Source organism: Homo sapiens, chromosome 16, assembly GCF_000001405.40.
Source record: "Homo sapiens chromosome 16, GRCh38.p14 Primary Assembly".
NCBI classification, from domain to species: Eukaryota; Metazoa; Chordata; class Mammalia; order Primates; family Hominidae; genus Homo; species Homo sapiens.
In genome coordinates this window covers 9,818,336-9,844,351 of record NC_000016.10, presented here as the reverse complement: position 1 = coordinate 9,844,351, position 26,016 = coordinate 9,818,336, and the positions used below count along the sequence as shown (strand labels likewise).

Here is a 26,016-nt window from a genome sequence, read left to right as displayed (position 1 = left end):
CCCAAGGCCCAGTTCCATGTCTTGTGCACAGTAGGCACTTAGTGGGTGCTTGTTGGGTGAAAATGCGTCATTGATCATTTGTATTTAGAAATATACCTCATGTTCAGGGATATGGGTGAGATAACTCATAAACTGGCTGAGGTTTCCAGGGAGACCAAAGAATGCCACTATATGCCTGTGACCTTGAATCTTAAACCTGGGGCACCTAAAACTTCTCTCTAATCTTCCAGAAATCTTGACCAGGTGAAGGAAGAGCCTGTGATAGGGGAAGAAGGGAAGGAACATAGAATGAAGGTGATACAAATGAACAGAGGTAGGGAAAGGGCATCAGTGCATGGCCAACAGCGACCAGAAAGAAAAAGAGAATTCGATTTTGACACATTTTTCAGAGCCATGTATACTAAGAAGGAAATGGTATCTGGACATTCCATCAACTTTAATGTACTTAGGACACATTTCTATCATATTTGTGGCAGTTTTAACTCTAGCCCAACCCCCTCCATTCTGGGTAATTGGTGGAGATGGAGCTGGCACATATCCCATGACTGTACAGTGTTGAGGTCACTAATCATCACATGTAAATATACACAGATGTGGCCTCCTACTACCCCCCCACTAAGGGTGGTGGATGACAGCAGGTCATCCAGCCTCTAGGCAAGAGAGTAAAGTCTCTATGGTGGTCTGGGTTGACAGAAGCAGAGTGGTTGAGTACAAGTCACTGACAGGATGTGGGGGTGGGATACAATGGTGAAGAGAGTGATTCAAGACAGGCAGTCTGTGATCCTGAGATAAAGGAAAGCATTGATAAGCAGGTGTCATTTACAACCCACTTCTGTTACTCAAAATTATGTTTTCCAGCTTGAGTATGGTGTCGCACACCTGTAATCCCAGCACTTTGAAAGGCCAAAGTGGGAGTATCACTTGAGGCCAGGAGGTCCAGTCTGCCATGAGCCATGATCACATCACTGCAACCCAGCCTGGGCAACAGAGCAAGAGCGTGTCTCTTAAAAAATTGTTCTGTCAAATCTGCCCACCTTCATGGATATAGAGATGATGTATATCATGTAAATCAATGTTGTTTGATGCGTGTGTGTGTGTCTGTGTTGCCAATTACATAAGTAGTATGTACTTACTAGATAATTTGGGGAAAAACCCTAAAAATGTAAAAAAGAAAACATGTTTTTCACCGTTCCAAAATAGCTTGCTTCTTTCTTTCTTTCCTTTCTTCCTTTCCTCGTTTCCTCCTTTATTTCTTTCTCTTTCTTTCTCTCTTCTCTCTCCCTCCCTCTCTTTCTCTCTCTCTCTTTCTTTCTTTCTATCTCTCCCTCTCCCCCCTTTTTCTCTTTCTGTTTCTCTCTTTCTTTCTTTCTTTCTTTCTTCCTCTCTCTCTCTCTCTCTCTTTCTTTCTTTCTCTCTTTCTCTCGACAGAGTCACATTCTGTCACCTAGGCTGGAGTGCAGTGGTGCGATCTTGGCTCACTGCAACCTCTACCTCCCAGATTGAAGCTATTCTTATGCCTCCTGTGTAGCTGGGATTACAGGTGCATGCCACCATGCCCAGCTCATTTTTGTATTTTTAGTAAAAATGGGGTTTCTCCATGTTGGCCAGGCTGGTCTCAAACTCCCAACCTCAGGGGATCCACCCAACTTGGCTTCCCAAAGTGCTGAGATTACAGGAATGAGCCACTGCACCTGTCCTATGCTTCATATTTCATTGTTTTTCCATACAGTTATTTCATAAGCTCATCTGTTTTTATATAGCTGTGATTATTCTGTTTGTACTACTGTGTAACCTACTTTTTTCATATGACATGGAAGCATAAGAATTTTCCTGTGATGATGTTGGATTTCCATAGACATCACTTTAGTGCTTAGGTAACACTCCAATGTGTGGATTTGCCAAAAATGGGATATTCAAACAGAGAACATATTCATGAAATGCATAACTCAAAGACAGGGTTGAGCTAATGGGATGTCCATTAATCAAGCATATTGCCCAGAAGAAAGGCTTTGATCTTATGTGAATTGTCTAAGTACTTTTTGCTATCCGTTGGATAGACCAGTGTTTCCTTTCTTTCTTTTCTTTTTTCTTTTTTTTTTGGAGACAGAGTTTCACTCTTGTCACCCAGGCTTGAGTACAACGGCATGATATTGGCTCACTGCAGCCCCCGCCTCCTGGGTTCAAGTGATTCTTATGCCTCAGCCTCCTGAGTATCTGGAACTACAGGTGCCTGCCACCATGCCTGGCTAATTTTTGTATTTTTAGTAGAGACAGGGTTTCGCCATGCTGGCCAAGCTGGTCTTGAACTCCTGACCTCAGGTGTTCACCCGCCACAGCCTCCGAAAGTGCTGGGATTATAGGTGTGAGCCACCATACCCGGCCTCCTTTCTTTTTAAAGGTATTTTTCTGGTTTGCCTGGGTGTCCTTTGAATATGTCTTGTTCAGGTGAATACAGCAAGGTGGCTGGTACAAAACAGTAAGTGTAGCCTTGGTAGAGTATACAATAGCCTTTAAGATAGTTTAAATTTTAATGGGGTCTTTACCTGATCAAGGACCTTGCTTTTAGAAGTGTCTCCTTTTATACTACATGTCACATAGGTAGGTAGGGAAGATGTTATTAATGAGCCCTCATGTAACATTTGGCTCTATCAAGAGAAGTTCAGTGCACAAAATCAGGCATGGAATAGAACCCAGGTCTCCTGATTCTTGGCTGAGGTGTTGTCTGGGTACCTTCACTTCTCCCCTTTGGTTTCAAGCCTCTGTAATTATAGAATGAAGCAAAACCTTGCTTTCTCTGAGAATTTCACATCCTCCTCTCTTCCATTCTCTAGTAAGTTTTTATGACTCAGTTTAGATCTGATGACTAAACTCTAGTCTAAAGTTGTGTATGTTATAAACTCTTAAAAATTTAAGAGTTGGTAATTTTTACCTGTTTAATGGGTGTACAAATATCAACTAATTCAGAAAATGTCATGAAGATTAATTCAACAATTAGTATGAAGCCTTTAGGATAGTGCTTAGCAAATAGTAATTACTCAATAAGTGTTAGTTCTTGTCATGATAACTGCTATAATTAAGGACACTTTCTGCTTTTGCTGTCATGTACTCACAGTGTGTCCTTGGGAAAGCCACTTCCCCTTTTAAACTTCAGTTTACTCATCTGAAAAATAGGAGAAGAGTACAGCTAATGATTGTGAACAAACCTTCCAGTGCTAACATTCTGTGGTCTTGGGGTTTTTCTTTACAGCAATTCAACCAATGAGGGGATGAATGTGAAGAAATGCTGCAAGGGGTTCTGCATTGATATTCTGAAGAAGCTTTCCAGAACTGTGAAGTTTACTTACGACCTCTATCTGGTGACCAATGGGAAGCATGGCAAGAAAGTTAACAATGTGTGGAATGGAATGATCGGTGAAGTAAGTTATCTTTTCATCCCCTAGGCTCTTACTCAGACAAAGGGCCTGCAGTCCTCAGGAATGTTAGCAGGAAAAGTAAAGTACTGTTGTTCTCTCTCTCTCTTTTTTTTTTTTTTTTTTTTGCCTTGCATCCAGGTGGTCTATCAACGGGCAGTCATGGCAGTTGGCTCGCTCACCATCAATGAGGAACGTTCTGAAGTGGTGGACTTCTCTGTGCCCTTTGTGGAAACGGGAATCAGTGTCATGGTTTCAAGAAGTAATGGCACCGTCTCACCTTCTGCTTTTCTAGGTGTGTGAATTTCATAGTGACTATTGCTTTCCTATAAGGAATTGTAGGAAATCTTGTTTGCTCAGAGGATGGGACCAGAAAGGAACTTGTTTAGCTCTGTTTGGCCATGGCAGCATATTTCAGAGGATGCTGCATTTGAATTATCCTATGAAAGGGTTAGGCTTTGGGTCCCCACCCAAATTTCATCTTGAATTGTAATCCCCAGCTGTTGAGGGAGAGACCTGATGGGAGGTGACGGGATCATGGGGATGGTTTCTCCCCTTCTGTTCTTGTGATAATGAGTGAGTTCTCATGAGATCTGACGGTTTAATAAGGGGCTCTCATTATATTATTATTATTATAAGGGGTTTAATAAGGGGCTCTTCCCCCTTCGCTTCACTTCTCTCACATGCCGCCATGTAAGACGTGTCTGCTTCCTCTTCTGCCATGATTGTAAGTTTCCTGGGGACTCCCCAGCCATGTGGAACTGTGAGTCAATTAAATCTCTTTCCTTTATAAATTTACCCAATCTCAGACAGTTTATTTTTTTGAGATGGAGTCTAGCTCTGCTGCCCAGGCTTGAGTGCAGTGTTATGATCTTGGCTTACTGCGGCCTCTGCCTCCTGGGTTCAAGCAATTCTCCCACCTCAGCCTCCCCAGTAGCTGGGATTATAGGTGCCCACCACCATGCCTGGCTAATTTTTGTGTAGAGATGGGGTTTCGCCATGTTGGCCAGACTGATATCAAACTCCTGACCTCAAGTGATCCTCGGGCAGTTCTTTATAGCAGCGTGAGAGTAGACTAATACATCCTAATTCACTCCCCTCCATCCCCAGTTCACATCTTTCATTTGTCTTAAACTTGGAAAAAGCTGCTGAAAAAAATATGATCACATATTCAGATACTGGTCTTGACTCTGTAGAATGTAAATTAATAGATATATTGCTTAGAATATTGAAAACATTTAAAAATAAAGCTGTCCACAGTTAATTTAAACCAGCTCATAGACCTTTATTCAGCATCTACATATCCATCCTCCATCCCACAAAGAACAGCAGTCATTTATTTGCTAGATGTAAGAGTGAAAATAATGATGACTGCACGATGATTTATGCCAATATTCTGCTAATAGGAATAGTCTGAAAAGTATATGCTGATTTAAAATTAATCGAATCATATTTTAAATGTGACTACCCATTAAGCCAAATAGTTTGTAAAGAAGGAAATTCTTGTGATTTTTTTAACCGTTTTGTAAATTTATGTTTTTACATAAAAGGTGTTTTTTTTTTTTAAATCAAGGAAGAGCTATGTTTTCTATCATCTGCTTTTCTCTAGCACTTGGACTGTATTGGGTAGCCTGGCTAGAGTTGAAATTTCATGGAACATAGTAAAGCATTATTTTTGTCTTTAAAGGAAAGTGTTGTATTAACTGTTTGGTTATCATAAATGAGTTTTGACTGTAACTATCTTGTTGAATATCATGAAATTCAGATCACTAATTCCCCCTTGGCACTCCCATATAAGTGGGTTTGTCCCAAATTAGGGAAGGTTAAGACAAACGTGAATCTCTGGAGGAAAACTGAGAGGGGAAAAATATGTATAATTTTTAAAAAATTTCAATAGCTCAGGGGTACAAGTGATTTTTGGTTATATGGACGAATTATATAGTGGTGAAGTCTGGGCCTTTAGTGTACCTGTCACCTAAATAGTGTACATTGTAGGTAATTTTCCATCACTCATCTCCCTCCCATCCTCTCCCTTTCTGAGTCTCCAGTGTCCATTATACCACTTGTGTGCTTTTTCATACCCATAGGTTAGCTTTCATTTAGAAGTGAGAATATGTAGTATTAGATTTTCCATTCTTGAAAAACCCATCCCCCAGTTCACATCTTTCATTTATCTCAAACTTAGAAAAAGCTGCTAAAAAAATAAGATCACATATTCAGATACTGGTCTTGACACTGTGGAATGTAAATTAATAGCTATATTGCTTAGAGTCTTGAAAACATTTTAAAAATAAACCTGTCGGTCCACAGTTAATTTAAATCAGCCCATAAACCTTTATTCAGCATCTACATACCCATCCTCCATCTCACAAAGAACAACAGTCATTTATTTGCTAGATGACTATCATATATTTAGAATGATGGCCTCCAGTTTCATCCAAGTTGCTGCAAAAGACATTGCATCATTCTTTTTTATGGCTGAGTAGTATTCCACAATGTATATATACCACATTTTCTTTATGCAATCATCAGTTGATGGGCTCATAGGTTGATTCCATATCTTTGCAATTGTGAGTTGTGCTCTGATAAACATATGTGTGCAAGTGTCTTTTTGATATAATAACTTCTTTTCCTTTGGGTAGATACCCAGTAGTGAAATTGCTGGATCAAATGGTAGATCTACTTTTAGTTGTTTGAGAAATCTCCCCCCTGGGAAAACAGTTATATTAAAGTCAACTAACTTTCTTATATTTTTCCAGAGACAAAAATAACTTTATCTCTTAAAGCAAATTGTAAACTGAAACCAATTTGTGGACACCAACTCCAAGCCCATTGTCTTATTCTTCCACTGTCTTCATTTATATGTAATGTTGGCATCCAGTGAAACTTTCATGTTTCGTTCTCTTCAGTGAAATATTGACTAACAGGATTTTGGACACTGCCTTACATTCAGAGCGCTATGGATTTACTGTTTTCATTTTTGATAATCCATTTAAGCTGTTAAAATGCTTGCCACTCTCTGGATTTGATTTTGCACTCGTTGCTTCAATTTTTGTAACCTTTGTTGGAGTAATGTGGACCCTGACAAATACACACCTCATTATGTTCCTTTTGTCCCTCCGTCTGACATGGATTCAGATACTCGTATTTTAATAAGAGAGCCTCACTATGCCAGGAACAATGCAACCAGCTGATATTGACAACACATGCAGAATCTTAATAATTCTTAAGTGGACATTCACTCTTTAGTCACTCCTAGTCATGTTTCCCCTCATTCCCTTTCAGACTCTTTGGCAGGAATCCTTTGTCCTGGAGGTTAAGAAAGGGTTAGAGGAAGTGAGTTCATGGATCAAAATGGAAAGAAATTGTTTCTTTTCACACAAAAAAGTCTTGTATCTCTTTAGTGAGCTAGAGAGAACTCTTTTTCCAATTCAATCAGAGAGAAAAAAATATCAATTGGCTTGTCTTATGAAAATGGGTCGTGAATATTGAATCTGGCCTCAACCCAGTTTCTCTAGATTTTTATCTTGCTTGCATTTGTAAAACATTTCCATAAAAATGTCAAGTATTTTGCTAAATTTAGCAAAACCTCTCTTTCCCCACACTTTTCCTGCTGCATTTTTAAAAGTAAAATAAATTGTAACCAGAGGAAACTATTTTCAAAGCTGTTTTTACCCAGTAGGCTTAATATTTTTCCTAGTCACTAAATTACATCCCTATTTGATTGACTGTGCACCCCCTTATTTACGGTCATTATCTACAGATTTTGAAAGTCATAATGAACCAGCTAAGCTACATTTTTCCATTCACTGGCTTAGTCATCTGGAAGAGCCAAAACATTCAAAATCTGATTTTATTGCTGTTCATTATTTCCTATTTTCTCTCCTCCACAAACTCCATTAACTCACATCAGAAGCACTTGCAGGTAATGCCTCTAAGCTTTTGTGTAAAAATGTAACCAGTGGCTCTTCAAGGACAGAGATGGCATCTCCTGTAATATTTCTATCTAGTTAATTCTGAAGAGTTTCCAAACAAGTTGGATTCTTTGATCCAAAGAAATGCTGACCTGGTATCTCCTCGATTGCAGTTCCTTCATGGACAAATGTTGAATCTGTTTTAAGCCATTAGAAGATGTAATAGAGAGTTATCTAAACTATTTCTGGGTCACTCCTTAGACACTATAGATGTTGCTTTAACGATGTTTCTTTGTTCTGGAGCATGTGTGTGCATTCACGTGTGTGGTATCTTAGAATAGCAACCCTTCAGGGCACTGATAGGTACTTAATTTACTAAAACAAGACTACTGCAGCAGAGTCCTTTGATCCGTGCTGTGCTCACAAGTTAAGGAACAGATGTGGTCAATTCCAAGTGGGGAGACATGTGGGAACAGTTGCTTCATCAGTTTCCACTTGATTTTCTGACTAGCGTGTTAGTGACAAGGATGCACCTACCAAAAAAAGTTCACTGCAGGTTTACAGATTCTTACATGCACATAGGATAATTCAGTTATGGTCCCTTCTAATGTTTAAAAATAATGTTTTCACAGCCTGCAGAGAAATAGACGTTACCAGATTAATAAATGTGCTTTTTCAAAAACCAGCACGCCCTTTTCAGAACCATGGACAGCGTATTGTTGCCCCAGTATTTCTGGCTTTAATCCTGGAATCACACAGCTATTCCACTCAGTATATTGTCTGTATATTGTGTGCCTCACACACGAACAAACACTTTCATGTATATGCTTATTTGCTCATCATAATGATCCTCCTCCAATAAGACACACTACGCAACTCGGAGAATTATTTTATCTCTATTCTTGAATATGAAGTACTTATAAATCTCCTAATCATTTATTTATCTAATTTCCTTTTTGGATACAACTCAGTATTAAATTGCTATTATTTCAGGGACATAATATTGTTTATTACTCAAGCTAAAGTTAAAATAAATTTCAGTTGCAGTTTCATTGATTTCTTGGAGCGCATCTTGTGTTACTTAAGTAAGTTGTGTTACCTGTTGCTTTTTAATATATTTGCACTATCAAATGCATTAGAAAGCATTCCTCCCAGCTTTTAAATTATCCAATATAGCTAAAGTTAAGTTCGGACATATTAGTTTCTTGTTATACATTAAACTCATTAAATTGGAATTTGTGGTGACCTCTAGCTGTGTTAAGTAGTCATACTCTAATAAGAAGGTGGCCTGCTATCAACCTAGCTCTTTATTATTATAAGTAGCTTCACTAGGAAAACAATTTTAAAATAATAATATGTTTACTATTCAAGAAGTATTATTGGACTTATTTTAACCCTCAGAAAATATTTGCTTATGAGGAAAAGGGTTTTAAGTTCATTGGTGTCTATAGGCAATTTCTTCCCCATGATACATTCAGGTGGAGATGTATTCATTTTTAAAATTTATTTTCTGTTGATTTTATAGCAAATCTATACCATAAATAAAATGGCTGCAGTCAGCTAATTTTCATATCCTCAATCAAGTTGAATAGTAATCTTATTTTACATAATATTTCTTACCTTTCTAGAGTGTTACAAGGCTTAGAGCCTTATGACTTGGCCTGCCCTTCTAAGACATCCACCTACTGCCTAAGTTACATGCAAATGAGCTGATGAAAACTACTTTTAGTGGAAATAACCATCTATCCATCTACTATTTTATTGCCTCTACCCTTTAAGTGATGCTTTTTTATTGAATTATCATGTGAAGATAATATCCTCAATTGACTTTCAATTGCATTTAAGGCTGCTACCAACATCAACAAGATTAATAAAGCTGTAGGAATCTCATCTATCTGAGGCAAAAGGTGAAATGGAGAGTGTGGTAGATTATAACTTTCCAATATTTCTGTCACCCATGATTTTATAATTCTTTTCCAACAGGTTATAATTCTCCCTTTATTTTTGGAATTCCCTGCATATCATCTTTCTAGCATGAAAAAATAAAAATAAAAACCATAACAATTTGCAGGAGCCTATGGTTTACTATTTGGGTCTAGTCTTTTTTCTTCCTAGCTTTAGCCCCCTGGATGGTTCTATAATTACAAAGGAAACTATGGCCTGTTTATTTGCATTCTAACTTGCTCCCTCTTTCTTATCACTCTTTTTTCTTCTGATTATCCTTGACCTAATTTGTAAAATGTCCTATGCTCTTCTCTATTTTTATTATATTATATGCAATCTTATACTTCAAATATTTTGTAGAATAAAGAATGATTTAAAATGATGAATAAAAAATGTCTGGCTGGCCAGGAGCAGTGGCTCACGCCTGTAATCCCAGCACTTTGGGAGGCCGAGGTGGGCAGATCACCTGAGGTCAGGAGTTTGAGACCAGCCTGGGCAACATGGCGAAACCCCGTCTCAACTAAAAATACAAAAATTAGCCAGGCATGGTGGCACATGCCTGTAGTCCCAGCTACTCGGAAGGCTGAGGCAGGAGAATTGCTTGAACCTGGGGGGCGGAGGTTGCAGCAAGTCGAAATTGTGCCACTGCACTCCAGCCTGGGTGACACAGAGAGTGAAGCTACATCTAAAAAATAAAAATAAAAATAAAAAATGATTAGCTTCTTTTGAAGGATCAGATTCAAATTAGAGAAAATATTTTTGGCGAGCCTGCAAATGGATGTCTGGGCTTCCTGCTGGAAGTGAGGAAGAGATAACTAACCACGTTTCCATTCCTTTATCTGTTTATTTGCAGAACCATTCAGCGCCTCTGTCTGGGTGATGATGTTTGTGATGCTGCTCATTGTTTCTGCCATAGCTGTTTTTGTCTTTGAATACTTCAGCCCTGTTGGATACAACAGAAACTTAGCCAAAGGGAAAGGTAAGGGTACCTTCATGAGCATGATTCAATGTTGTTGCAATTTCATTTACCTTTAATGAAAATTTCAGTTTTAGAACACATTACTCTAGACCAGGCATGGTGGCTCACGCCTGTAATCCCAGCACTTTGGGAGACCGAGGTGGGTGGATCATGAGGTCAGGAGTTCAGAACCAGCCTGACCAATATGGTGAAACCCATCTCTACTAAAAATACAAAAATTAGCTGGGCATGGTGGCACACACCTGTAATACCAGCTACTCATGAGGCAGAGGCAGGAGAATCGCTTAAAACCAGGAGGCAGAGGTTGCAGTGAGTCGAGATTGTGCCACTGCACTCCAGCCTGAGGGACAGAGCGAGACTCAATCACACACACACAAAGAATACATTATACTGCGTTGGTGTACCATTGTATGAATGGTTTTGGGTCACTGATATTGCTTGTAATACCAGAAAAGTATGGTTTATGTACTTCAACTGATGGATAAAACAAAATGAAATATTTTAATCTTGTCATAACCTGAAGTCAATAGTTGTTAGGTGAAAACCACTGATGTTCAATTTGTTGGGAAAGCAGATTTGAAGGAACTTTTCTGACAATTAATTTAAAAAATGCTTGTCAAATGCTAAAATTGTCATGGGTTTCAACTTCAGTCTATGCAAAGAAAATGACTTTATAAAATCTAGTTTAAGAACATTCCTCAAACTACTGAATCAATTTACATTAGTTTGACAATAAATATAACTATGAAGTGATATATTTCCCCATAGGGTTATATTTTCCTGTTGGTGATGCCAGGAGGAAATCAAGTGTGCTAAAATAAAATGCATTGATCTTAGTGCATTGTAGTTGATAAAGGGACAATCAGTAGATAGGAAATAAAATTGGGAGGCATTCGTTAGCTATAACTCATTAAAAGGATCCCACTCTAGCCAGGGTTTATGTCATACACGTTATGCCATTTTGAGTGGGCTTTCCTCAGTGGGCACTACCTTCTAAATGGGTGTTATCAGAAAAGTGTCAGGACCAAATCTCTTTCCCAAAAAATGACTTGATATGGTAGAGGATGGAACTTGAAGTCTCATATCCCCCAAAAAGCAGAGCACTTTAATGTGATGGATACATATTCTTTTCACTTAGATGTTTTAATATTGGAAATACTCAACAGGTCATGGGAATCTATTAGGAACCTAGTTTTATTGAAATCTTTCAACTTCTTCCTCACCATTGAAGAGTGGTGATTACCACATAAACCATCTTCAATCAACCAGATACTAAACAATGCCATAAATAATGATGTTGTGTTTAATGGGAGATTGCAAGCCTTCATTTAAAGGGTAATTTAACCTCTAAGAAGATTTCCAACAGGGTGGAATCTGAGACAGTTTCTGTGAGTGACCACACTGTGATACAGTAGTTCCTTATATTTGCATAATCAGGGCTTGTGCTGTTGTGAATTTACACATTTTCTGATGAATATTTATCAAATGGGTACTACGTGCCAGGAGGCACTATACTGCTGCCAGAGATAATGTGGTAAATCAAATAGAGATTTTCTATCAGGCAGTTTAGAATTTAGTTGTGAAAATAACATGTAGACACACAAACTAATAATAACAGATTATAATAAATATCAAGAAGAAGAAAAAAACATAGTGACATGATAGTGATGGGGTGCAGACACTACGTTAGATAAGATGGTCCAATGGGAAAGGATGTTCATTGAGCTAGGACCTGAAGGGTGACATACAATTTTATCTGTCAAAAACAGTTACAGTCATTTCATGTAAAAGGAACAGCAAACAGAAAGGCTGAAATAATCTTGAGATGCTCAAGAAACAGAAAAAGGCTGAGGGGGTGCAGTGGCTCATACTTGTGATGTCAAGGCTTTTTGAGGCCAAGGCAGGAGAATTGCCTGAGGTCAGGAGTTTGAGACCAGCCTGGGTAACATAGCAAGACCTCATCTCTACAATAAATAAATAAATAAATAAATAAATAAATAAATAAATAAATAAATAAAATAAGCCTGGCGTGATGATGCGTGCCTGTATTCCCGGCTACTCAGAAGGCTGAGGTAGGAGAATTACTTGAGCCCAGGAGGTTTAGGTTGCAGTGAGCTATGATCACACCACTGCACTGCCTAGTCAGCAGAGCAAGACCCTGTCTCTATTAAAAAATAAAATAAAAAGATGTGAGTGAATGAGGTAGACAATAGTATAAGATGAAATCAGAGAGATAGGCAATTGACCATGGGAAGCATGTCAGACTTTCTTCAAAATACAATGGAGGGAGGCCAGGCACGGTGGCTCATGCCTGTAATCCCAGCACTTTGGGAGGCTGAGGTGGGCAGATCACTTGAGGTCAGGAGTTTGAGACCAGCCTGGCCAATATGGCAAAACCGCATCCCTACTAAAAATACAAAAATTAGCTGGGCGTGGTGGTATGCTCCTGTAGTCCCAGCAGTTCGGGAGGCTGACACAGGAGAATCCCTTGAACCCGGGAAGTGGAGGCTGCAGTGAGCCGAGATTGTGCCACTGCACTGCAGCCTGAGTGACAGAGCAAGACTCCATCTCAAAAAAAAAAAAAGAAAAAGAAAAGAAAAAAAAAAAACAATGGCAGGGAGACAGGTGACATACATGTACAGAGCAAAAAGGTCACTGGGGCTACTCTATCCAGATAGTGTGTGGGGACAACAGTTGGAAGCGGGGACGGGGAGGGCAGTTAAGAAGGTGTCACTTTTCCAAGAGAAAGGACTGCAATGACTTGGAACTTGTCAAGAACAACGAAAATACAGATAATCAGGTAAATCTGAGTTACATTTTGGAAGGTAAAAACCACCCACAGCCCATCCTTGCAATACGTTCTCCTTTGCCTGAAGCATGCTGGAAAGACTATTGTAAAGGATGGCATCAGTTGTGCAAACTCCTCAGCCCTTCCATTCTCTCCAGGCTCTCTGTTTCCAGCTCATCTGCTGTGGCAACTCTTGGGAAATGACAGCTACTTGTTTCTTTGTACAAAATGGTTTTCTGTTACATTTCGCTGCACTTTATGGGAAAAGTTATATGGCCCAGTCATAGTATTCATGAATCAGGAATTCCTAGAAGTCTTGGACCGATCCTTCTGAACTGCCTACATCTGATTCCTAAATAGCTGTCATTTCTGATCAGTGTGCATCCCTAAAAAAACTAAATCGTTCATAAAGTTGACTGGATTAACTCTAAGTTTTCCCCAAGAATTTCCTGCCTCTTGAGAATAAGCCCAGAAGATCACAAAACTAGCCAAATAGAAACAGGAGAGATTGAGAATAAGAGAATTAACTGCTTTCTCTTTAATGGGTTGTGTCATGGATATTATAAGTACAGCTGTAGCCTGGGTTTGGCCTCCAATGTGCAGAGAGCTTGCTTTTCCTAGGCTTCCTGCCCAGCACTTCATAACTTCCATTAATGTGAATTTGCTTCTGCCACTTTATTTATTGCCCACTCTGCTTATATTGGCAGGTGACATCTGAGTAGATCATTTTTTCATATCTTCATTTACTTAAATGACATAAAAATTAACCTCCTGTTAAAGGGAAACCTTCCCTATGAAATTAGGGCATCAGTTGATTTTTTTTTTTTTTTTTTTTTGCCCATGCAGAACAAAGACTTGAAAACCCTAATATGTGTGTTTTACAGCCTGCATATGCCCCATCGCCATAAATTTTGGCATATCATTCTGTCTCTTTAGTTAAGTCTGTTGCAAGGAACATTTAAGAATCTTAAAAGGGCTGCATAGCTATTGCGAGGATATACTGGAAAAAGTGCTGTGATATGACATCAGTGTTCATTTTCCATGACCCTGCAATGAAATGTCTTCCATCTGTGAAGTGTTGGAAGAATTAAGATCTATTGTTCCATTCCTTAATGTCTCCATTTGGAGAGGGTTTTAGTTTGGTTTAATTCTTATGTTGTACACACTTTACATCTGAGTTTGAACAGGAGCAATTGCTAGGGACAATCGGATTAGAATACCAAACATCAGTCCCGCTGAATTGCATGGTTCTTATACGATAGCACATCCGATGAATTTGGAAGCAGTCCCCATGCACACATTTTTGTCAGGCTCTCTTTATGTTTATTAAGAAGGCTGGTTTCCTCAAATGGGAATCAAATCCAAATTTAAAACAGGTCATAACACTACTTATTCAAACCCCCATTTTGCATAACCATTTTCGTTTCCTTTCTTTTTTTAAAGAAATGTGGCAAAAATCCAGTTAGATAGAAATGTGAGAAGAATGCTAATTTTTAAAGAAAAAAATAAGTTATTGTGGTTCTAGGGCAATCACAGGACACAACTATGATATAATTCCATCTTCTGGCAACCTTCGGTGCTGCTGGTGGCTGCTGCGTGGTTGTCATACACAAACAGGCATTTTTTTCAGAAAATGCTGAGAATGTCCTTTTCATCTTCTGCAGCACCCCATGGGCCTTCTTTTACAATTGGAAAAGCTATATGGCTTCTTTGGGGCCTGGTGTTCAATAACTCCGTGCCTGTCCAGAATCCTAAAGGGACCACCAGCAAGATCATGGTATCTGTATGGGCCTTCTTCGCTGTCATATTCCTGGCTAGCTACACAGCCAATCTGGCTGCCTTCATGATCCAAGAGGAATTTGTGGACCAAGTGACCGGCCTCAGTGACAAAAAGGTAAGGTCACCTTGCTTTCCTCTCCATCTGAGGGTTGGTCTTAACTGCTCTCCTTTCAGGAGGAAGAGATTCAGGTGCCTCTCATTGAGATCCATCAACTCGAATGCACAAAAGCCAGAAGGTTTTTTCTCTTTAACTCAAATTGTCCTCTTTCTCAAAGTTTTTGAAACAGAACATTAAGGTTAGCTCTCCTAGACCTAAAAGATTCCAGATCTAATTTGGAAGCCTGGCTTCCCCGAGTGGTCGTGTTTCCTATTTATATGATCTTTCTGATGGTGCTTGTGAATGACCTATGACTCAAGTGCTTAGGTTGAAATTCATCCTTTCGAATGTGTGATGTTAAGGAAGGCCCATTTTCCTGGATGAGAAGAAATTGGGGTGAAGGAGCACTGTAGGCTGTGGGTACCTCATCTATGACCTGAAAAAAAGTCATCTTTAAGCCCTACCCAGAGACAAAATTATCTGACAGCTCCTCTTTTCCATACAGCCAAATCAGTCTCAGCATCAGCGCTTCTGACTCACCTGAAATGTCTTCAAGGCACACAAAAGGAGCAGAGAGTTTTTTTCTTTCTTTCTTTCTGTTTTTTTAATTTCCCACTGGTTCTTTCTACTCAGATATATCACTAATCTTCCCTTATAGGGCTGTACTTCCCACATCAGTAAGACAGGAGTAAAAACACCTGCTCTCTCATTCTCCAGTGAAATGAAATATAACAAGGGTTGCAGGGTTTGAGTAGCTATTCAGAAACACACATTGAGGAAGAAAAGAGGTAAACTGGGTGCATCCTCCTATTGAGACTTTAGTTCAGGAAACATCCTGACTTGCTAAGCTCAGCAAGTGTTGAGATTGCAGCACCACAAAGATTTTCTGTTCTGTGTGTGGGGATAATTTGTCTCTCGTTATAAAACCTCGCTAACATATCTTTTTGACATAAGTCTACATATATCCTTTTGCCATTCATCAACAAACTGCTGAATAGAAAATCAATCCATGGAAAGCTTTTACAGCTTATCCATGATACACACTGTGGTTGAAAGAATCTTGTCAAGAGAGCTGATGAGGGGTTGGGGTTAAAGATGGAGTCATTTCCACAAAGGCATGAGAGTGCCTCACCTCTCTCTGATGGCTTCCGATTGAGGCTTGAGTAAGGGTCACTTTACTTACCATGGCACACAAAGCCCTGTGTTATCTCACCTGCTCCCACGTTTCCTTCCTCTTGCTCCATCCCTGTCACTAAGTTTATTTCAGCTCAGTGTCCTTGTGCCTCTTAGGCCCTCTGCCTAGAATGTTCTTCCCCAATCTTCTCATGGTTGGCTCCTCCTGGAATTTCTGGCCTTAGGGAAGACATTACCTCCTCAGGGAAGTCTTTCCTGGCTACTGTAATAAACTTGGCAGAATGAGCTCAGGCTCCCAAGAAACTTAAATTCTAGTAGGAAAAAAATAAGCAATACACAAGTAAACATCAAGGAAGAAACAAATTTGGAAATTTGGGGCAGGAATAAGTATTATAAAGAAGATAAAGCTGATGAGACTAAAATTGTCTGGGGGAAGAGGCCCTCAGGGATGTAGTTTTGATAGAGTTATTTTGCACTTTGGAGGTGCTCAGGACACTCTTGCTGGGTGAATGAATACATGCATGGTATACTGGACACTGTGCATACCCCACCTGGATCTCCTGGGATCCCTTTTGCAGCGCTGTGTGCCCAGCCCCACCTTTCTGTGCTTTGCTGACAAAGCCTCACTTCAGGGATCCTCAGCAGATTTTTGCCTTTGGGCACTGGAATGGTAAATGCCTGGCAATTTAAGTTCCCTCAATCTTTGTGGTCACCTGTAACCAAAGACTAATCTGTGTGAGAATACAAAGGCTAAGCTGCTCCCTTGCTTCGAAGCAGGAAAAACTTTAAGGTACGAATCACTCTCTGGAGCTCCCTGCAGGACGGGACTGAGATGGAGACTTGGCCTTAAATCAGACCCTTGATTTCTCCCCCTTCTCCAGTCTTTCCTAACTTTATCCTGCTCCCCTGCTGACTTCTCCTGGAACCCTTCACTAGTAAATCATGCTCACCCCCAAATCCTTCACTTGGGGTCAGCTACTGTAAGATCCCCGCCTAAAGCGGGTGGTATCTCAGAGGCAGCAGATAACACACTGTGTTTAGAGTCAGAAAAGTTGTGTTTCCTCTCTGCCTGTTTCCTCTCTGCCACTCGCCAGCCAGCCGTATAATGTTTTTAAAGCCATGTCACCTCACGGTGCCTGCTTTGTCTGCTTTGTAAATTTGGGAGTCACAATTGCAGTAAGGATGAAAGAAAGCCACATATGTAAATGTATCTTGTAGCATATGAATCCCTCTGCAGACATGAAGCGCTATTGTGCAAGTCTGTCGCATTATGGGATCAAAAGTGCAATTCCTAGAAGTGATTGGAGGTATGGTGGAAGCAGCAGGAAGCAATGTCCTGGAAGAGAGGATTTTTCAAGAAAGTGGTTGGCAGCATATTTTGCTTTTTGTTGCTATGTTCAAAGGCAAGGGCGGGGGGAAATCCTTACTACATAGTTTTGGGTCTAAATAACATGACCACTTGTGGGAAAACTAATTAAAACCACTAATAATTTGACTGACCTTCACTGACTTGGAAACACCCAGTAACAGATACCATATCCTCAAGAGACAAAGCTCAGTCTCCATGCTGAAAACATTAGAGGCAAGCTGATAGCTCTTTTAATTAAATGTTTGATACAATGAGATAAACAGCAAAATTCCTGGAGTAAATAACCTATATGCTCCCAGAAGATTAATAGAAGATACACCAAGAAAGTCTGCAAAAAAAAATCAATATTGAATCAATTTATTGTACACTGTGGTTGGTTTTGTTTTTGTTTTTTGTTTTTGTTTTTTTGTTGTTTGTTTATCATGAATACCTGTGTAACAACTCAGGTTTACAATGCTTTTAAGCCATTAGTGCTTGCTGTGAAATAATCATATTGGAGCCCATGGTGTGCTCAGATGAGCTGGGACTTAAATTATAAATAGGTGAATTCATGGGTAAGATGCTTCCCTAGGAATTATTAAGAGAAAATTGCAATGTTGATAGGGATGCTTTCCAAAATGTTGGGAATCACTCTGACAGAGGAAATCCATCTCTGGGAGGCAGATTTATGTTGTGGGAAGAGCAATATCATGTTTGGGGTCAAATGGACCTGGGTTCAAATCCTGGCCTTGCCATATGATTGGCCTTCTGTATGTCAGTATCCCCTTAGGCTTAATTTCCTATAAAAGAGAAGACATTATCTCCTTTCTGGCAAGGTTGATAGGAGGATTAGAAATAATCCTCACACCATGCCTGGCACATGGTAGATGATCCTGTAATGTGTTATTTCCTTCTTCTACCCTCCTCCTTTCCACTCCCCCCTCTCATTCCTCCCCCTCTCCTTCTCTTTGTCTCCCTTCTCCTCCTACTCCTTCCATCATCTTCATCATCGCCTGACTCAAACCATTCTTGGCTTCTGGGGCCTGAAATGTTATTGCACTGAGTTGGTCTTTTGTGACAACCAATGGAGGGAATTGAGGCAACTGCTCTCAGTGGATGAGCCCAGGAATGTGTTCTCAAGGAGCCATGCTGTCTCTGGGCACTGTGCTGCTGCTGCTGAGTGGTCCCAGTTCAGGCAGCCAGGCCTCCTCCCAGCTGATCCTCTCTCTGCTCAAGGACACACCTGCTTGCTGCTCACATCAAGAAGCACGTGGGACTTCACCAACAGAAGACTGTACTAGAAATAGGGGCTCCAGTTGCCAGATGTCCCTTATTTACAGGCACAGAAGACAGATAGATATTTTTAATAAATGGGTAGTTTTTGGTTCACAAAAAAAGAAAAAATATCTTGGTTAATTGCTGCATTTTTCTGGAAATTTTATCTCCAAGTGTTGCATCTCTACCTCCTCCATCATCAAATACTTGCCATGTTTTAGTCACTTGGATGACCTTCAGACATGCCTCCATATTGGATGGAAAAAAAATTAGAAAATAATCCTCTGTTCTCCAAACTGTAAGGAGACAGGCTTCATTGTTTGGCTGAAATGTCGTGGGTAACAACAGGTGATCTATCCCAAGCATTAGAGGATGCCAGGTGTTCTTTCAAACACTATAAGATTTGTTGCAAAAGCAATCTCCAATTTACAGATAGAGAAATTCAGGCTCAGGAGCTTAACTGGTTGCTCCAAATGGCGCAGTTTCTAAGCAGCAGATGAGAACCTGAACTTGTCTCCTGTAAGTCCAAAGCCAGGTGAAACCAGTTAACCTACACAGCAAGGGAACCCTGCAGAGAAGCCAGGGGAGTTCCTCTGACTCCAGATATTGTGATTACATTGTTCTGTGGTCTTGCTGACAATGGAGACCTCTGTCCTACCCCTTCCTTTGCTAAAGCCCATATTGGATTCTTTCTGCTTGCACGTGGAACTCTCTGGGAGAAAGTCTTGCTAGGAATCATTCTCGCAGCAAGCACGGAGTGTGTCCTGGATGTAGACCCTGGGACTTAATAGATGAGCCATCCTTGCCCCCTCACTGTTTTTCACGCTGTAGGTCATGACTCTTTAGTGAGCCATGAAATTAATCTAAGGATTGCAGACATTTTTTTAAAAAAATAGAACATAATGGATAACCTCAGAGTATATCACAGATAGAAAGAATGAGTGCTGTGAAATTTCACACATGTGCATGGAGTGGTGATGGGAAACGTATTGTGAGTCATGCTTTAAAAAGTTTGACAGTCTTCAGTCTAGTGGAAAAGGTTCCTGGAGCTTGGTGTCAGGCTGAATTTTGTGTGGGTGATGGTACTATCCAGGCCAGAGAAGCACGGAAACCATCACAGAGACTGAATATCTATCTCTGTTACTGTGCAACCCAGACACAGGGAAGAAAGTGAATTTTTAAAGACCTATGCAGCTCCTCTGCAACAGACGGGGAGTGAAGTGGAAGGCATTTAGTCAAATAGGCCATCTCCGGATATCTCTGGAGATTGGGAATGGCTGCTACAAGGAGATTTATGAACAGCACTATTACCTCTCTCCTCCCGAGCAGGCGGCTGCCATGAGGATGAGCCTGGGCTTGGCCTTTTGAGCTTTTGGTGATTAGTTAAGGCACTGCTTGGTGGAGTGACTGCAAAAAGCATTTTGCTGTTCACATACACACACATGCACACGTGGACGCACATACTCCCAGGGCAAGGCACACCCTGGCAGGAGGATCTCATTTGGAAAATGGATGGCCACTTCTCCCAAATCCAGTTATGACTGCATATTAGGCAGCAGCATGCCTAATTTAGGGAAAACGATTTTCAACTGGAAATTTTAATTAACAGTGAAGTGAAGTGTGAGTCTGGAAAAAAGAATAATGTTTCTAGCTGGTTTGACTCTTGGGTAAATTTGGACACTTACCCTGGCGGTTCTTAGTTCTGTGGAAGACACACTGGTCTGGAAGTTGGAGAGACTGCTGCATTGTGGTCCTGGTTCTGACACTGATTTTCTGGGTGCTCTTCCCCTCCTGGGGTCTTTAAATCTTTATGTCTAGATGAGGAGAGAGTCAATAGCAATGGTCTCTGAGGAATGATAGAGTTAAGACCTCAGCCTGTGGTCAGACGCATCCGGGTTTGAATTCTGGGCCACTGCTTGGTAGTTGCATAATCTTAAATAGATCACATAGCCTCTCTGAGCCTCAGTTTTCTTATCTGCAAGAAGCAGCCTCTAAGATTAACTACCTGGCATGGGTTTGTAAGGATTAAATGACCTGACGTTTGTAAAGTTCTTGGCATAGTGCTGGACCCAACTAGGTTCCCAAAAAGTGTTAGTCATTGTTGTTATTACTTTCTAGTTCCAGAATTCAATGTTTCATAGAAAAATGAGGTTCAGGTTCCTTTTTCACTCATAATGATAATAACAGACGGTAATCATAGCTTTATTTTTGAATGCTTTCTCTGGTCCAGGCACTATTCCAGTTACTTGACAAATGTATGTTGAGATCTTCATGGTGGCCCCCCACTCTACAGATGGAAAATAAATGGAGGCAGCATGAAGTGAATGTGTTATCTAGGGTTCCATAGCTTGTATGTGATAGAACCCAATTTTCCAACCAGCCAGTTCGAGCTCCTGCTTATAACCACAGCCCGCCACCATCTCTAGTGTTTAGCTGTATTTCTGGAACTCAGATCCAGTTCTATTGATTCGACTCTCATTGAGTCACCTGAAACATCGAAGCTGTGGACAGACAGAATCATCCAATCCATCAGAGAAGACTGGTGATGCATGGACTACAGGCCTTTATGGGGGGCTTGAGTGCCGAGTGCTGCGTATCCCTGATAGCTAAAGATCAACAGGGACTCTGGCTCAACAAGTATTCATGGAGCCTGCCATGCACTGGCAATTATGCCTGGGGAATGTTAGGCACTAGATAAATAGTGCCTGCAGGAGTGAATGAATGACTGAGTGAGTGGAGAATGAATGAGTGGTAATATATAGTCATTTTCTGGGTGAGGTGAAGGTAATTATAAATGGAGTTTAGAGAAGGGAGTGATTGGTGGAGATCACAGAAAATTTCATCATAAAGTGGATAAATGGACTGGACTAAGGTAGTACCTTAAGTTCAGCTCATTCAGCATTTCTAAGTACTGACTGTGTGCCTAACACTGTGCTAGTCTCTGTAATGGCACTGAAAAGTTCAACTCAACAAATACCTATGGAGCACCCAGCCGGGCTCTGTGCTAGGATCTGAGCAGTAGTACAGAAGAAAACAGATGCTGTGTCCACCCTCCTGGAGCTCACAGACTGGCTGAAGATGTGACTAAGTAGAAAGAAAGACCAAAAAGCAACATTTTATTGTCATCCTGCCCTAATGCATGCATTTACCTCCTAACACCAGACAAAATGATCACTAATTTATTATTTGTTCTCTCCTCCCCCTCCTCCCTTCTCTTTCTTTTCCTACTCTCTCTCTTCCTTTCTCGTTCTCTCTCCAGTTTCAGAGACCTCATGACTATTCCCCACCTTTTCGATTTGGGACAGTGCCTAATGGAAGCACGGAGAGAAACATTCGGAATAACTATCCCTACATGCATCAGTACATGACCAAATTTAATCAGAAAGGAGTAGAGGACGCCTTGGTCAGCCTGAAAACGGGGTAAGGATGGCAGTTTCCTTTTCACCACAGGTCTGCGAGCGATAAACCTTACAGAAATTGACTCTCGGCATGCCTCAGTTCCTATCTGCTCCCATTGTATTTCTGGAGAGTGACTGTGGTCCAGATGGGCCCCAGTTGAGGGCAGTTTTTGTTAATCTAATGAGCATCCCAGGTTTCCTTCTGAGTTGGGTGAAGAAAAAGCAAATCCAGGATGCTTTGAAATGCACAGAAACAGAGGGGTTTCTTAAACTGATAAAGAAGTTTGTCCAACTCCATAGGATATTTTAACAAATAGAAAGATCCAAGAAGGCCAAGAGTTTAAAGTAGTGAAAACAAAGATTTTTATCAGATTTTAGGTAGGAGGTTTTCTGAGTGTGGGGAGGAGTAGCTTGCTAGTAGGAGCTTTATGAAAAAACTAATTGTATAACATTGATGAAAGAGAAAGAAAAGATGGGAGAAAAGCAATGAGAACTCAAATCATTCAAGTTACAGTTAGCATTCCTCTCTGTCTGTTGGCATTGTGGAGTGTAACACAGACTCCATAGCTGAAGATGTAAAGAAAAGATAGCACAGGGGTTAGGAGTTTAGGCTTTGGAGAGAGAGTTTCTCATACCTCATAGCCTCATATCTAACATGGGAATAATAATAGGACCTAAGAGAGAAAATCTGATGGAAAGCCTTTTGGATGGGAAATAGACAGTACCTAAATGTGAGTGTTGTTATTTATTGTAAAGGTTAGATTCTATTCCATGGACTCTTCTGAAAAGTCCATTGTTCTGTGGTCTTGCTGACAATGGAGACGTCTGTCCTACCCCTTCCTTTGCTAAAGCCCACATTGGTTTCTTTCTGCTTGCATGTGGAACTCTCTGGGAGAAAGTCTTGCTAGGAATCATTCTCGTAGGAAGCACGGAGTGTGTCCTGGATGTAGACCCAGGAATGCATGAAATCCATTTTAGAAAGGATTAAATCCAATAAAAATGATTTTATTTTAAATGACAGAGTTGTTTAATGAGGGGATTTTGATTATCCAGAAAATTAGCTCATATGGGGCATTTCAGTTGTCACAGATTCCTGCATGGAAACATGACTGTAGGTGCATTCTCCTTGTGGCTTAATAAATAACCTCCTTTTCGGCTGTTCGGCAAGCCCATTGTGAAGGCCTTGCTGCTGGCTTTGTGTCTGGTAGGGGGAGACAGAGGCCCCTCTAAAGCATCAAAGCCCAGATTTCTGCATAGAAATCCCGGTAGTTTTGGCTGTGAGCATTCTGTCCTTTCAGTCTGTGCCTTTGGAATGTCTTTGGCATCTCAGCAGGGGCTGGGAGAGCATTTATTCAGAAGTTAAGTCTATGATTTCTGAAAAACTCATTCCCACAGTGCTCATTCTGGTTTGGAATGATTTCTTTAAACTTTTGAAGTATAACAAAAATGCAGAAAATTCACAAATATTAAATATGCTGCTTTATGGCTTCGTACAAACTGATCATCCAGGTCATCACTCCCTGGAACCCCGCCCCACACCCTCTTCCAGTCAATATCTTCCACCCGCCACCTGCACTTCTAAAGCCGTAGATTCTTGGTGCCTGCTGTTTTAACATAGAAATAAAGCCACACTCTTTTCTTTTTTGTCGTCTTTGGCTCAACATTGTGTTTGCAAGATTGTTGCATGTAATTTCAGTGCTTTCATTCTCATTGCTGGAATGCAGCACACATGGATGTCTCTGTCCTAATCTTGATGGACATTTGGGTAATGTCCTATTTTGGGGCCATTATGAATAATGCTTCTTTTGTTAATGAGTGAGCGCATTTCTGTTGGTATACACCGAAGACTGCAACTGCTGAGCCATAGAATATTTGTGTCTTCCACTTTCACAGATACCTGAAAAGACCAATTGTTGATGACTTTACAGTTTAGCCATGGGTTTGGGATTTTTGTTTGTTTCCATTGTGGTCTTTTAATCAACATATACTGTTGTTTTGGACAGACCATGCGCACAAATGCAGATGATAATGGTTGGAGACAGTGGTTGATGCCTAGCTGGCTTTCTCTCCCTCCATTTATTAACCAGAGCACAAAATGGGTTGTTTTCTTTCTTTTTCAATCTTTTTTTTAATATAATAGCAAAAAGGAGAGAAATGGAAACCATTCGTGGCCATAAATTGTACAAATTGGTTTCTGGAAGCCATATAATAATTATAACATCCATCTTAGAAAACGTGGGCAGATGGCAGATTCATTCTATACTCAATCTCCCATGTGGGGGATGCTTTGCATTGTTACTTTAAACTCAGAAACTAGAGCTGAAGGAGTACAAGTCTTTTTTTTTTTTTTTTTTTTTTTTTTTTGAGACGGAGTTTCGCTCTTGTTGCTCATGCTGGAGTGCAATGGTGCAGTCTCTCCCCGCTGCAACCTCCACCTCCCAGGTTCAAACGATTCTCAACACACTCAGCTAATTTTTGTGTTTTTGTAGAGACAGGGTTTCACCATGTTGACTAGGCACATCTTGAACTTCTGAGCTCAGGTGATCCTCCTGCCTTGGCCTTCCAAAGTGCTGGGATTACAGTCATGAGCCACTGCACCCAGCCACAAGTCATTTTTTAAAAAATAATTCAATATACTCTTAGGGATGAAAGCACAGCAGTTATCATTACTGGAGATTTAATTTCATTGGAGTTAATATTTGGGGAAACCACATACATGTTTAACAGGCTCCTTGATTAATTATTTAAATTTTTTTTTTTTTTTCAGACAGGGTCTCACTCTGTCACCCAGGTTGGAGTACAGTAGTGTAATCATAGCTTATTGCAGCCTGGACTTCCCTGGGCTCAGGTAATCATCCCACCTCAGCCTCCTGAGTAGCTGGGACTACAGGCAAGCACCACCACACCTGGCTAATGTTTGTGTTTCGTGTGGAGATGAGGTTTTGCCGTGTTACCCAGGCTGATTTCAAATTCAGAAGGCTCAAGCCATTCTCCTGCCTCAGCCTCTCAAAGTGCTGGGATTACAGGAGTGAGTCACTATGCCCAGCCTAAATTAAATTTTGAATAGATAAGATATTTATATACGTCAAAAATAAAAAAGTACATAAAAAGAAAAAAACAGTGAAAAGTTTTCCCTGCACACTATTCCTCATCTAGTACCCCTCCATGGTAACCACATTTACTCTGTGTATCCTTCCAATATGTTCTTCTGAATCTTTCTATATTAATGCATAAAAAGCCATAAAGTTATTTTTTATAGAGTCATAATCTTTCATTATGCAAATATACCATATTTTATTTGGTCAGGCCTCTATTGTTGGACATTTAGGTTGTTTCCAATCTTTTGCTATTGCAAACAAAGCTGTAGTGAATATCTTTGTATTGCGTCACATTCAGTGTAGAATAAATTTCTTGAAAGAGTGGGTCACAGTTGCAATTTTAACAGATATTGCCAAATCTCCCTCCAAAGGAAATTCATACTTACCCCATCAGTGCATGAGAGAGCTTATTTCTCCAAAGTTTTGCCAATACAATGTGTAATTAATCTTTCAAAATTTTGCTAATAGGTAAAAAGTATGCTGAGATATAAATTTGCACTTTTCTCAGTAAATTTTGGCCATATTTATATACTTAAGAGCCATCGGCAATTCCTTTTTTACTTTTATTAATATTTCTATTGGTTTGTTGGTCTTTTTCTTATTAATTTATATATTGGACAGATGAGCCTTTTGTGATGTGATTACAAATATTTTCCCTATTTCTTTTTTAGTCTTTTGAGCTTGCTTTTTTTTTTCCATGCAGATTTTATCTTTTTTGTAGTGAAATATATCAACCATTTGCTTATGGCTGTTGAATTTTGAGACGTAATTCAAAAGTCTTTCATCATTCTTTATTACAAGATAATTACCTCGTGTTTTCTTCTTTTTTGGTTGCATTTTTTAATATTTGGA

General features: G+C 40.1%; 1 protein-coding gene across 7 annotated transcripts in view, besides 1 other annotated feature; it reads left to right on the top strand.

The window, feature by feature from the left end:
- Positions 1-26,016, top strand: part of GRIN2A (glutamate ionotropic receptor NMDA type subunit 2A) — a 429,505-nt gene that overhangs the window by 338,557 nt on the left and 64,932 nt on the right. For all 7 annotated transcript variants that reach the window (NM_001134408.2, XM_047433994.1, XM_017023173.2 and 4 more), the window contains 5 exons: positions 3,248-3,416; positions 3,552-3,705; positions 10,122-10,247; positions 14,700-14,929; positions 21,928-22,088. In NM_001134408.2, the coding sequence (NP_001127880.1) occupies positions 3,248-3,416; positions 3,552-3,705; positions 10,122-10,247; positions 14,700-14,929; positions 21,928-22,088 (840 nt within the window). The remainder of the gene's footprint in view (positions 1-3,247; positions 3,417-3,551; positions 3,706-10,121; positions 10,248-14,699; positions 14,930-21,927; positions 22,089-26,016) is intronic.
- Positions 744-993: an enhancer, noted in NCBI's record as "active region_10376". NCBI's record gives its function as "activates an Ori minimal core promoter by ATAC-STARR-seq in GM12878 lymphoblastoid cells {active_cell/tissue: GM12878}" and the evidence as "EXISTENCE:reporter gene assay evidence [ECO:0000049][PMID:35858748]".